The 13,287-nt window shown below is 48.2% G+C and overlaps 1 protein-coding gene across 3 annotated transcripts in view, besides 3 other annotated features; it reads left to right on the top strand.

The window, feature by feature from the left end:
* The window catches only part of RGS9 (regulator of G protein signaling 9), a 90,334-nt gene that overhangs the window by 20,308 nt on the left and 56,739 nt on the right, over positions 1 to 13,287 (top strand). For all 3 annotated transcript variants that reach the window (NM_003835.4, NM_001081955.3, NM_001165933.2), the window contains exons 3-8: positions 618 to 668; positions 2,556 to 2,662; positions 2,859 to 2,910; positions 3,174 to 3,232; positions 5,336 to 5,412; positions 10,523 to 10,604. In NM_003835.4, the coding sequence (NP_003826.2) occupies positions 618 to 668; positions 2,556 to 2,662; positions 2,859 to 2,910; positions 3,174 to 3,232; positions 5,336 to 5,412; positions 10,523 to 10,604 (428 nt within the window). The remainder of the gene's footprint in view (positions 1 to 617; positions 669 to 2,555; positions 2,663 to 2,858; positions 2,911 to 3,173; positions 3,233 to 5,335; positions 5,413 to 10,522; positions 10,605 to 13,287) is intronic.
* Positions 6,238 to 6,437: an enhancer, noted in NCBI's record as "active region_12608". NCBI's record gives its function as "activates an Ori minimal core promoter by ATAC-STARR-seq in GM12878 lymphoblastoid cells {active_cell/tissue: GM12878}" and the evidence as "EXISTENCE:reporter gene assay evidence [ECO:0000049][PMID:35858748]".
* Positions 6,728 to 6,787: a silencer, noted in NCBI's record as "silent region_8862". NCBI's record gives its function as "represses an Ori minimal core promoter by ATAC-STARR-seq in GM12878 lymphoblastoid cells {active_cell/tissue: GM12878}" and the evidence as "EXISTENCE:reporter gene assay evidence [ECO:0000049][PMID:35858748]".
* Positions 7,467 to 10,471: an enhancer, noted in NCBI's record as "VISTA enhancer hs1517". NCBI's record gives its function as "enhancer in: neural tube[6/13] | other[10/13]" and the evidence as "EXISTENCE:transgenic organism evidence [ECO:0001131][PMID:17130149]".

Consider the following 13,287-nt stretch of genomic DNA (forward strand, 5'->3'; position numbering starts at 1 on the left):
CTAGGATAGGTCCCAACCTCCTACCCTGACAAAAGTACCTTCACAATGTCATGGAAGGCCAGGTTCAAGTTTAGAAGTTTCTGACTCCTCGGAGTTCTGCCTGGGAACTTGGGGAGTTGGAGAGCCGGCCCCAGCCCTCAGCCTGTCCTCTTCTCATCCCTGTCTCTGTTTTACTCCCAGAGTCCCAGCTTGGTCCAGAGCCCTGCAAACAGCTTGCCTCGGGTCTGTTTTGTGTGTGTGTATGTGTGTGTGTGTGTGTTTAGACTTAGCCTATTTACTATCCAGTTAGTGAATAACAGACCATGTACAAGTTATCGTCAGGTAAAAGATCAATACAACAAGAGATGTAAAGATGAAGCGTGTGTGTATGTATGTGTGGGCTGGGGGTGCGTGCGGTGTTAAGTTGCACATCTGCTGGAGTCAGATCATGGATAGCCTTGAATTACAGGCTGCAGAGCTGGGACTGAGCATGATGAGGTGGGGGTTTCTGAAGGTTCTGAGCGAAGAGGAATGAAATCGCAGCTGAACGGGAAGGAGACCAGTCAGGCAACAGCGTGGAGGAGCGGGGATGTGTCAGGAGGCTATGACAATAACCGCAAATGTCTCTTGTTTTTCAGGAAGTGATGTTCTGCAATGGATCGTCCAGCGGCTTTGGATCTCCAGTCTGGGTGAGAGCTCATCTGGCACTCAGTTATCCGGGACAGCTTTGTGTACAGCACCATGGGAGAAACTAAATAGAGACTTAGCCTGTGTTTCTGAGAAATTTACATTTTAATTGGACAGACATGACCTTCGTGTGTAAAAGTACCAGAATCAAAAGCAAAGGCAGGATAATTTGGGGACGAAAGAGTTATTTTGTACAAAATATTTAGAGCATAAATAACAGGGATAAGTGGGGAGGACTCAGTCAAGAAAGTCCTGGAGGGGGTGCTGTGTATAGCTGGTCTTGAAAGAAGTGATGCTTGTGAATTGGTGAAGAGGAGCTCTGAGGGTCTTCCTATAAGGGGACACTAGCAAGAGCAATGGTTTAGAAATGGAATGAGTGGAAAGTGGAGGAGTGACAAGGGAGATTGAGAGTCATGGCTCCAGATGGCTATGGAGGGTGGCAGAGGGGTGGAAGAGCACCTGCAGATCTGGGAGATAGGCAATAGGAAGCCACAGGCAATTTTTGAGCATGGCAATGTGCCTGATAATCATATTTCAGCTAGGGTGCCTCGCAGTGTCAGGCCTCTGAGCCCAAGCTAAGCCATCATATCCCCTGTGGCCTGCACGTATACATCCAGATGGCCTGAAATGAACTGAAGAATCACAAAAGAAGTGATATTTACATGGCCTGTTCCTGACTTAACTGATGACATTCCACCACAAAAGAAGTGAAAATGGCCAGTCCTTGCCTTAACTGAGGGCATTACCTTGTGAAATTCCTTCTCCTGGCTCATCCTGGCTCAAAAAGCTCCCCCACTGAGCACCTTGTGACCCCCCACTCCTGCCCGCCAGAGAACAACCCCCCCTTTTTCCTTTACCTACCCAAATCTTATAAAACAGCCCCACCCCTATCTCCCTTCGCTGACTCTCTTTTCGGACTCAGCCCGCCTGCACCCAGGTGAAATAAACAGCCTTGTTGCTCACACGAAGCCTGTTTGGTGGTCTCTTCACACGGACACGAGTGAAAGGCAGCAATTTAGAAAATGGATTGGAGCAGAAAGAAACTGGAGAGTAGATTTCACACTAGAAAATAGGCTGTTGGTACAATGAGGCATACAACTTTAGGACTTGGTCTTTGATGGAGGGAGCGAGACCTGGAGAGGGAGGGCTGGGGAGGAAGTCTTCCCACACCTTGGAGGCTGAGCTATGGGATGGGGAGATGGGTTGGGTCCTTGGGCTGGGGGGTCCTGCAGGAATGGAGGGATGGAATCCTCCCCAGAGGATGGAAGGATATCTGCTTTCATTGATGCTTTGGAGAAAGAACCAAGGAAGTTTGTCCTTTAATTGATATAATTGATAAACAAGGCTGTGCTTCCGAATAAACTGGAGCAGGGTGGGAATTAAAGTGAAGTGGGAAGGAGAGGAAGGGTCTGGACCCGAGATGCAGGCAGAGGTGAGCTTGGGATAGAAGTTGGCAATAAACATGATGCTCCTTGCTCATTCTTGGAGTGACAAAGTGTCTGTTGGTCCAACAGAGACATTTTCTTCCCAGTCCTGTGACCTTTCCCAGACCCAAAGGGCCTATAGAGGCTTCTCTAGGCCTTCCTTAACCATCACCCGCTGCAGCAGACCACGTGTGGTTTCTGTTAACATCCAGATTTCCTAGTTCCCATCTAGACTTATTGAGTTGTCACTCCTGGGGATAAGACCTGGGAGGTCCTCCTTTTAGCGTGCAACCCAGCTCACGCTTGTCCACAGCCAAGTTCAGCAACCAGTGTCCTCACTGCTCATGAGATGCAGTGCTGTTAGGAAGGGGCACCTGTCCTGGAGTTTGGGGTGCCGTGGGGGCCGGCAATGAGCTCCTGTCTCAGCCCTGCTCTTAACATCCATGTCTGAACTGCTTTTCCCAGAGGCACAGAACTTGGGCAACTTTATTGTCAGGTATGGCTACATTTACCCCCTGCAAGACCCCAAGAATCTCATTCTCAAGCCTGATGGCAGCCTCTACAGATTTCAGGTGAGTCTTGGCCTTGACCCTGGCTGTTCATATGGGGTTGATCTCATTTGAAAAGGTGGGGTTCATAGTTTCACAGATCAAGGACTTCAGAAATGGTGGAGGGGGCCAAGGTGGTTGGATTTCTTTAGTCACAGGGTTGGGGTCCATTGAGTCACAATCCAGTTTTAAAGCGTGGTTTCCCTGGTTTCTTTTGCAGACACCGTATTTCTGGCCCACCCAGCAGTGGCCAGCTGAAGATACCGATTACGGTAAATACTTCAGCCCCAACTATGCCTTTGGTAGTGCTTAACATGCTGCTTATTTACTTGCTGCACTTTGGTGACATTTGTCTTGCTGTCATCATGACCTTTCTGTCAGTCCACATCTGTACTGGGCATGTCCCCAGGGGCAAGGGGCTGGGTGTGCTGAGCGTTCTCTCCCCGACTCTGAGCACAGCAGCCTCAGGCTTAGGGAGGCTGCAGATGGGGTTTTGAAAGATGATGATGGAAAATGTCATTGCTTTCTTTTCCAGCCATCTATCTGGCCAAGCGAAATATCAAAAAGAAAGGGATTTTGGAAGAATATGAAAAGGTATGGAGGTGCTTTTAAGTAGAGGTTGTTATAATTGAGTGGAAGATAGTTTTGAGCTGTACTTTCCTCATTCCCACATCACTACATTCATATGCGCCCACATTCATATGCAATCCATCCAGCCAGCCAGCTAGCCATCCATTTATTAATTAGAAGCAGCTAGCTGAAGTAAATTCTTTCTCATGTCTAACTTCAGTTTCTCTTGCTGTAATTTAAGCCCTTGCCTCAGTGGCTACTGGGCACACAGTGGCTACCCACTTCCTTTTGCCATCCCAAAACAATGTGACATAATAAATATGTACTCTAATGGACAACCCTTGGTTAACAGATTTGAACTTGAATTGTTTTTTTTGTTTTTTTGAGACAAGGTCTTGCTCTGTTGCCTGGGCTGAAGTACAGTGGCATGATCTCAGCTCACTGCAACCTCCACCTTCCAGGTTCAAGCGATTCTCCTGCCTTAGCCTCCCGAGTAGCTGGGATTACAGGCGTGTGCCACCACGCCTGGCTAATTTTTGTATTTTTAATAGAGATGAGGTTTCACCATGTTGGCCAGGCTAGTCTCGAACTTCTGACCTCAAGTGATCTGCCTGCCTCGGCCTCTCAAAGTGCTGGGATTACAGGTGTGAGCCATCGTGCCTGGCCCGAACTTCAATTTATGATGGGAAAACAATAGGACTGTATAGACTTTTGTTTTAGGCTGGGTGAGTCCAGTTTCCCAAAGAACACATGCTAGCCCTCAAAAGGCCAAAATTTCTGGGTGGAGGGTTAAAATCTTGCTGTGTTTTTATTTTTATTTATATATTTATTTATTTATTTATTTATTTATTTGAGACAACGTCTTGCTCAATCACCCAGGCTGGCCTATAGTGGTGCAGTCTCGGCTCACTGCAACTTCTGTCTCCTGGGCTCAAGCCTCAGCCTCCCAAGCAGCTGGGACTACAGGAGCACACCACCATACCCAGCTAATTTTTGTATTTTTTGTAGAGACAGGAGGCCCAGGCTAGTCTCAAACTCCTGGGCTCAAGTGATCCATCCACCTCAGCCTCCCGAAGTGCTGGGATTACAGGCGTGAGCCACCATGCTAGGCCACGTGTTTTTATTCTTACAAACATGTTTTCAGAAAGGCCGGTTTATCTTTGTTTTATCTTAGGGTTTATTTTGTGAATTTGTGATGCTCTGTTGTTGAATAGTGAGTTTCCAGGTTGGGTGTGGTGGCTCACGCCTATAATCCCAGCATTTTGGGAGGCCAAGATGGGAGGATCACTCGAGGCCAGGAGTTCAAGACCAGCCTGGCAACATAGTGAGACCCTATCTCTACAAAAGATTAAAAAATTAGCCAGGTGTGGTGGCATGCACAGGTAGTCCTAGCTACTGAGGCAGGAGAATGGCTTGAGCCCAGGAGTTTGAGGCTGCAGTGAGCTATGATTGTGCCACTGCCTTCCAGCCTGGGCAACACAGTGAGACACTGTCTCAAAAAAAAAATTGATTTTCAAATTATTTTTAATCTCTGATGCTCTCTTCCTAATCAGATTTGGGATACATTTATTTATTTATTTATTTTTTATTTATTTGAGAGGAAGTCTCACTCTGTCACCCAGCCTGGAGTGCAGTAGCACAATCTTGGCTCACTGCAAGCTCTGCCTCCCAGGTTCATGCCATTCTCCTGCCTCAGCCTCCCGAGTTGCTGGGACTACAGGCACCCGCCACCACGCCTGGCTAATTTTTTGTATTTTTTTTTTTTAGTAGAGACAGGGTTTCACCATGTTAGCCATGATGGTCTCGATCTCCTGACCTTGTGATCTGCCTGCCTTGGCCTCCCAAAGTGCTGGGATTACAGGTGTGAGCCACCACGCCTGGCCGGGATACATTTATTTTTACAAAAGCAAAGAAAACCAATAAAAGTGAGGCTTCTTGTGAAAGTGTTTTGAGAATTCAGCTGCTCCTTGAGTGAACACCATGGTAAAACCAGCTTAGATACCATCGGGCTGGGTCCATGGTTGCCATGAGCCAGGGGTGTGCCCTTGCTGACTTAGAGTTTGTTGCCCTGCGGCACATGGCATATGTCTTGGGGCTTTCTGTTCTCATTTTGTTTTTCTTCTTTAGGAAAATTACAATTTCTTGAACCAAAAAATGAACTATAAGTGGGACTTTGTCATTATGCAGGCCAAAGAGCAGTACAGGTGAGTGAAAGGAGACCATGCTTGTCCTCTCGGTGTCTTTCCTCCCTCTCTTCCTTCTTTGTTTCTTTTTATTTATTTTATTTTTTATTTTTATTTTTTTTTTGAGACAGAGTCTTGCTCTGTCGCCCAGCCTGGAGTGCAGTGGTGTGATCTCGGCTCACTGCAACCTCCGCCTCCTGGGTTCAAGCGATTCTCCTGCCTTGCCTCCCAAGTAGCTGAGATTACAGGCACCCAGCACCATGCCTGGCTAATTTTTATTTATTATTATTATTATTTGTATTTTTAGTAGAGACGGGGTTTCACCATGTTGGCCAGGCTGGTCTCAAACTCCTGACCTCGTGATCAGCCTGCCTCAGTCTCCCAAAGTGCTGGGATTACAGGCGTGAACCACTGCGCCTGGACTCTTTCCTTTTATTAAAATAAACTTGTTTTTGAGCATTTATGTGCCTAACACTGGGCTGCGCAGGGGGAATCAAAAGACACAGTCTCATAGGTCAGGCAGATGAAAGAATAGGCTATGGTGCTGCTGTGAGATGAGGGCCACCTGGCTGGGGTTTTCAGAAGGAATCGTAGAAATGGCATTGAACCTGGGGAATGCATAGGAGGGGTCCAGGTGAAGGATAGCAGTTGTGGAGGAAGAGGAGAGGTGTGGTGAGAGGAAGGGGCTCTCAGCAGGCAGAACCAGAGGCTGGAGGCAGGAGTGTGCCCACTGCAAGCAGTTCCTTGCAGCTGCATCTGAGAGTGCAAAGTATGGAATTAGGAAGATGTGAACTAGAGATGTTAGCAAGAGTGGATCGTGAGAGGGCTTTGTGGTGAGGGCCATAGGGAGCCATAGAATGATGTTTAAGCAGGGAAGGGATACACAGTGATCAGATTGTCATGTTAGAACCACGCCTCGTTCACTTGCATTTGCCTGTTGCCATATCAGAACTGGAACTGGAAGTCCCCTCCAGGGCTCTGCCTTAACAAGAGCTGGATGCAGATATTGGGGACAGGGAGTGGTAGGGAGAGGGTGTGGTCAGGACAAGGTTAGCCTATCATTACAAACAGCCCCCAACTCTCAGGGGCTGGAAACCACAAGGTCCATTTCTTGCTGGTGCTCCTCATCCACCGTGGGGCAGCTGGGGCCCTGACATGCTTTCCCCACTTCCAGGACCCATATGCAGAAGAAGCAGCACCATCTGGGCTTTGTGCGTTGCTTAGCAGGGACAGGGATTTCCTGTGTGTATCAGAGCAGCCCTGTCATCCTGCTCATGAGTCACTAGGCAAAGCAGGTCAACGTCAAAGGTTGGTGGGTGGGGACATAGAATCCTACTAGGTGCCTGAGAAGAGGGACAGCTGGGAACATCTGGTGACCCGCACCAGTGATTACCAAAACCGATGATCCCCCCAGTCCAGCCTCACTCGCTGTGACAGTCCCAGATCCAGGAAGGTCTAGACTTGCTGGTGCTCAGCTGGGCTGGATGGGGAAGACCTGATTCTCACCCAGCAGCCTAGGTATTGGAGTAGTGATGAACACTGTTTATGGGAGAGCTGGTCCGGGAAAAATAGATTCTTATGGCGGAACAGCTTTATTGCCCTCCAGGGGGGAAAATATGTTCTTAGGGTTTAGAATCAGGTAGAACATCAGTGAGAGAGCTGCCACTGCTCATTAGCCACAAACATGTTTCTACCTGGGTACATTTGAGGCGAAACAACACGGGTTATCTTTAATCACTTATATTTGTTCATAAGGCTTCATTTGGTGAGTTTCTGGGTACTGTCTCACTTTATGTTGGTGTGGGGAAATACTTACCATAGTAATTATTGTCACCCTTCATTTCTACAAATGGGGAGACTGAGACTTAGGGAGGTGAAAATTACTTAGCTGAAGTCACTTGGTGAGATAATGGTAGATCTTAGGCTGATATTACTTAATTCCATTTGTTGCACCAGTTTTGAGTTTCTGATGGGTTCCAGCACTGGGCTGGGCTCCAGGGACACAGAGATGGGTAAGATGTGCCCCTCTCCCTCAACCCCTCCATCCCTTCTTCCTCCTGTCTGCTCTGAGCAGGACTATCCCAGCAACCCACAGGACTATGAACCCTGACATCTGCTTTCTTGGGCGCTCTGGGTGCTCTTGAAGCTTGGAGCTGTTCTCAGTGATCCCTGCAGGTCCACCACCAAGGCCTTGGACTCAGCTGCGATAAAGCTCTGTGCTGCCCAGGTCCTGGGACATTCCCCTCTTTCATTCTTCCAGGTGCCTTGGAATGAGCGATTCCTAAAAGGCTTGCTCCATTTGAGATGGCTTTTTCCCACTTATTTTATGGCTTAAAGGCTGCCTCTGATTTCAGATTTAGGGTCTCAGCACAAAACGTGGTTGACCATGTAGGTTGGCCCATAAAGTAGTCATTTTGTTATGCTGAGTCCTGTCTTCCAAGTTCCACACTCAGCACCCAGACAGCTACTCAAGATCTCATGTTGCTGTCAAACCTCAAACTTACCTTGTCCATATTCAAATATGTCTTTCCCTCACTCTCCAAACCTCTTCCTCCAGTATCACCCATATCAGTACCTCTACTGCCCCTACCCTGGTTGAACCAAACTCACCGTCACCTGAACCATGGCAACATCCTCCCAACTGGCCTCTCTGCTCCCAATTTCTCCCCATGTTTGAAACACAGATAAGATCACCTCAATCCATCTTCTCTAGCTATCGGGGAGAACATTCACTTCCAATGTTACTTCCTCAAAGAGGCTTTTCTGATTAGCTGTTACTGCACTCAGATCATCCTAAATTTAGTGGCTCAAAACAACAACAATTATTTTATTATGTGTCCTGATTTCTATAGGTTAGGGATTTGGGAAGGTCTTGGCCTATCAATTCTAACTCAGAGTCTCTTGAGTGGTTGCTGTCAGATGGCTGGAGCTGGGGGCCTGGAGCAACTGGGGCTGGCTGGCATTTCCTACTCTCTTCTTGTAGCCTCTCTGTGTGGTCTAGCTTGAGCTACCTCACAGCATGGCGGCATCAGGGAGGGTTGTTAGATTGCTTAGAGGTGTTTGGGGACTTCAAGACCACATATTCCAGTAAGGAGGGTGACTGCTGTCCCACCTTTTATGGCCTGGCCTCAGAAATTAGTGCCATGCCTGACGTCCCATGTTGGTAGAAACCATCACAAAATCCCATCTAGCTTCAAGGGGAGGAGACATAGACACATCTGTCAATGGAAAGAGTGTCAAAGAATTGTAGACATATTTAAAAATCACCACAGAGGCCATCCCTGATGCTGCATGATGGTACTCTGTTTCCTTATGGCAAATAATGCAATTTGCAATTCTGTATTGATTCTTTGACTGTGTATGTGATGTTTAGCTCAAAAGCTACTCAAGGGCAGGGACTATGTTTGGTTCACCAGTAGACTCCCAGTGCTTGGAATATACTGGAAGATCAATGAGTACATGAATGAACGAATGAATGAATGAAAAATTAAGCAAATGCTGTTGCTGAAAAAATCACAAACTAAAGTAATTCCTAGGTTACTAACTCTCTTGCATTCCATTTATCATGACTCTCCTCTAATAACATCTGTTACAGAAAAGCAGAAGAGCAAAGCCGGAAAGGACCCGTGGGGTAAATCAGAGAGTGACTCTATTTACCAGGCTCTCCAGCATTGTGGAAACTGCAATGCCTCAGGCTGGTTGTGGCCCATGCTCCTGAGGTCAGGGGCTAGTTAATGTGGTAGAAAATCCAGTTAGGCTGTCAGGGGGAAGTTTGAAAACAATGTTTATATTTAATTTCCAGAGGAGGCTGACGGAACGCCCAAATGGAATGGCGCTGTTCACCCATCTGGCTCCCTGAGTGTTATGATGTTTTTCACAGTACGTTAACGGGGAGATGAATTCGCCGACTCTGTCTTGCAGAGGGCGTGTGCGTCATCCCACGTTGCCTGGGAAAACAAGCATTAACAAGTGTGAGCGCGGGTCTCCGTGGAAATGGTACAGAAGGGGGCCCACGGCGGGATCATTAGTGTTACTTTGCCCCTGGAGGAAGAAGGCCCTGCGTCATTTCCCATCCAGAGTGGGAAAGGGAGAGAGACTGAGAGATAAAAAGGAAAATAAACAGCCCTTTTTTATTTATTTATTTTTTTTTGAGACGGAGTTTTGCTCTTGTTGCCCAGGCTGGAGTGCAGTGGCGCGATCTCGGCTCACTGCAACCTCTGCCTCCCAGATTCAAACGATTCTCCTGCCTCAGCCTCCTGAGTAGCTGGGATTACAAGTGCTTGCCACCATGCCCGGAACATTTTTATATTTTTGGTAGAGACGGGGTTTCACCATGTTGATCAGGCTGGTCTTGAACTCCTGACCTCAAGTGATCTGCCCACCTCAGCCTCCCAAAGTGCTGTGATTACAGGCATGAGCCACTGCGCCGGGCCATAAATAGCCTTTTATAGCAATAAGTTGTGCTCAGAAAAAGCCCCGACGTGGCATGAACTCTTTGCAGTGCCAGAGTAGAAGTTACAGGCACGGAGGAGAGAGGACTCCCCAGGCCAGCATCTTCCTTGTCACCATCCCACAGGGGGTTGCCTGCCTGACCAGACGTTGACTATGTTGTTTGCCCAAACAGGGAAAAGTTAAGAAGCCAGGAGGTCAAATGTCGACCCGGAAGTTCACCCATGCGCGCTGCTCTCTAATGTTGAAGTTGGTGGAGTTGGTTTGATTTAGGGCTGGTGGCGGCAATATGATCTCAGTGCAGCACTGTCCTGTCCGGGGGAGTTAGACCCTGGCCAGACTCCCAAGTGCAAGTGCCACTTCTGCCAATTGCTAGCAGTGTGACCCTGGTGGGCTGGTGGGGCATTCACCCCCTCTTCATTTCAGTGCCCTGAACTTTGAAGTAAGAAAAGGCCACCGGGAGGATGAAGTGGGATTAAAAGAGTTAATACGTGTCAAAGTGGTTAGAAGGGTGCTAGTACTTAAGTGAGATGTCAGTGCTTGCTGTGTTCATTACTATTACGGTATATGTGAATTACTTGGGCAGGTTGGGAGAGGGGTCTAGGTCATCAGGAATGAGGGGCATCACTAATCAAAAGACACAAAGTCTTCCTGGCCTTACACGTGGCTTTTGGCTTTCCAGGGCTGGAAAGGAGAGGAACAAAGCAGACAGATATGCCCTGGACTGCCAGGAGAAGGCATACTGGCTGGTGCACCGATGCCCTGTGAGTATCCTCCTGCCTGGTGTCCTCTGTCTCTTCCTGTGCCTCCCACCTCCATCCTGTGCTCTCCATACCTGTTGCCAACTCCTCTTTCTCTAGGGCGAGAATTGGATCAGCAGGAGGAGCTGCTCAGTGTTGGGTTAGCATCCAAGTGCCTCTTGGCCAGAAAAGGAAGTTCTCTGCCTGGATGGGGTCTGCTCATGGCCCATCTGTTGGTGTTAGGTAGGGAGGGACCTGAATGAATTTGTCTTTTACGAGGGCTGGGACTTTTTTTTTTTTTTTTTTTTTTGCTAGGATATCATACCTTGGGAAAGGAATATAAGGAGAAAAAATTAGAACGTAGGCCCCAATGGAGGCGCCAATGCAGAAAAATAGAGTCCCGTGAGAATGGAAACTGCTTGGCCAAAGTTCTCCTTGGTGTCTCTAGCTCCCTCACTTTTTCCTCTCCTAGATCCAGTTCCCAGCAGCTGAGATGGGAGAAGGAGAAGGAATACGTCTGTGTTGAGCTTCTCCTTGCTTGGAGCACACTGAATCTCTGGCTTTGGGACTTCAGTGGCCCAGAGGGACAAGCTGTACAGAGCTGGTGTAACTTGCCCCAGCTCATCACTGGGAAATGGTAGCCTCATTCCCCAGCACACAGAAGTGGGGTCTGACTGCTACATACTGGGATTAACTCTGCTACCTCAGTTTCCTCCTGTACAGCTCCCTGTGCTGCCTATGGGTCATGGGAGGTAGGAGATGTGAATGAGATTCTGGAAACCGAAGAGTTAGAAAGAAATGTTCTTCCTCCTCTTCCTTTAGCTTCCTTGCCTGCCAGGTATCAGAAATTCTCAGAAGCAGAAGGAGAACTGAGTGAGGCCTGGTGTCAGAGTTTATGGATTTTTGAGTTTCAAGCCCATCCGATTTTGGCTGTTTTGCTTATATTCTTTATATACTGAAAACAGATTCTCCTAAGGTGTTCCACTCTGTAGCGGCATGGGTTTGGATGCTGTGTTGCTGAGGTTAAGGTGCTGAGGTTGATCCCAAACAGCTTGTTTGATTTTTTCTTTGCTTCAGGGTTTCTCCTCTAGGGAAACCAGTTTACAGATGCCTGACGCAGGTATCTGGGGGCCGGGTGACAGAGCACAGGGTCCCAGAGATAAGCACCCCTCCTGGTTGGTAGCGAAGAAACTCTTTGTATGAGAAGGAGCCTCACATTGCTCGTGTGTTCCAGAAGCACTCTGTGGTGAGGATAAGGAGACATGGCGGATATGCCACATTTGGCAAGACACCTTGGTGCCCAGTGGCACCATACCTGAGGGTAGGTAAAGAACGGCTTCTATATTATGTGCAGAGACTCCTCACTGTGCGAATGCCTATGTGACTACATTCCTTGCAAAGTGACATAGACTAGCTATGCATTAACATGAAAAATTGATCATCCGGGTTCTTCTCAGTTCTTCTGGGGTAAGTTCTCAGCCCCCACCAGGCTAGTGGCTGAGTGGCTCTTCACAGGATGATGCTGAATCACATAAATATGACCATGTGTCTCTATGACCACTGCCTCCCCCCCAGCCCATCTCCACCACCATGACCGTCATCCCACCTCCCACTCCCTCACCTCCTTTATCTCCCTGACCTCTACCACCTCTCTTATTTCCCCCACTTTCTCCACCACCTCCACCACCCTTATTGTCTTCATCACTGTGGTCACTGTCACCGTCACCATCACAGTAGACATGAACTGAGAACTCCCAGTGTGCTGGGCACTGTGCTAAGCCTTCTGCATTCTTTTTTTTTTTTTTTTTTTTTTCTGAGATGGAGCCTTGCTCTGTCACCCAGGCTGGAGTGCAATGGCACGATTTCGGCTCACTGCAACCTCTGCCTCCCAGGTTCAACCAATTCTACTGCCTCAGCCTCCTGAGTAGCTAGGATTACAGGCATGCACCACCATGTCCGGCTAATTTTGGCATTTTTAGTAGAGATGGGGTTTCACCATGTTGGTCAGCCTAGTCTTGAACTCCTGACCTCGTGATCTGCCTGCCTCGGCCTCCCAAAGTGCTGGGATTACAGGCGTGAGCCACCGCGCCTGGCCGCCTTCTGCATTCTTATTGAACCTTTGCAGCCCTGTGTGGAAGGGTTTATTATTATTCTCATTGTACTGATAAGCAAGTGAAAGCTCAAGGATGCTGCTAATTTGCCCAAAGTTACACAGCTAGTTAGTGCCAGAGGGTCTGAACCCACATACCACTGACTGTGGAGCACCAACCCCTGCACCTTAGCCCTGTGCACTTCTGCCTCTCATGACAATGTCATGTGATATCTTGGTACAGTTCAGTCCTTTGGTAACCTCCTCGGTCATTAGAACGTTGCCTGGGTCACTGCTGCTCTAAGAAGCCGAATGCCTGGGTTTACACGTGCCTGGTCCTTCTTTGACAGCACTGGGGACCCAAGTTCAGCATGAGGCTTTGATGGACTCAGAGTGGTCCTAGAACTTCCAGGACTAAAAACTGCTCCCCACATCTAACCTCTTTCATGGCTGCTCCCTGAGTGAAAACCAGACCAGTAGTCAAAGATGAGGCAGGAGAGTGCAGTGGCCCCACTCTCTGTGATTTTCTTAAAATTCTCCCCATCTCTTGTTGGCCTGTGGGGGTGGAAGGTAGTGTTTTTGAAGAGCATCTCAGTCTAGAAATTGAGCAATCTGACT

This window comes from Homo sapiens, chromosome 17 (assembly GCF_000001405.40).
Source record: "Homo sapiens chromosome 17, GRCh38.p14 Primary Assembly".
NCBI classification, from domain to species: Eukaryota; Metazoa; Chordata; class Mammalia; order Primates; family Hominidae; genus Homo; species Homo sapiens.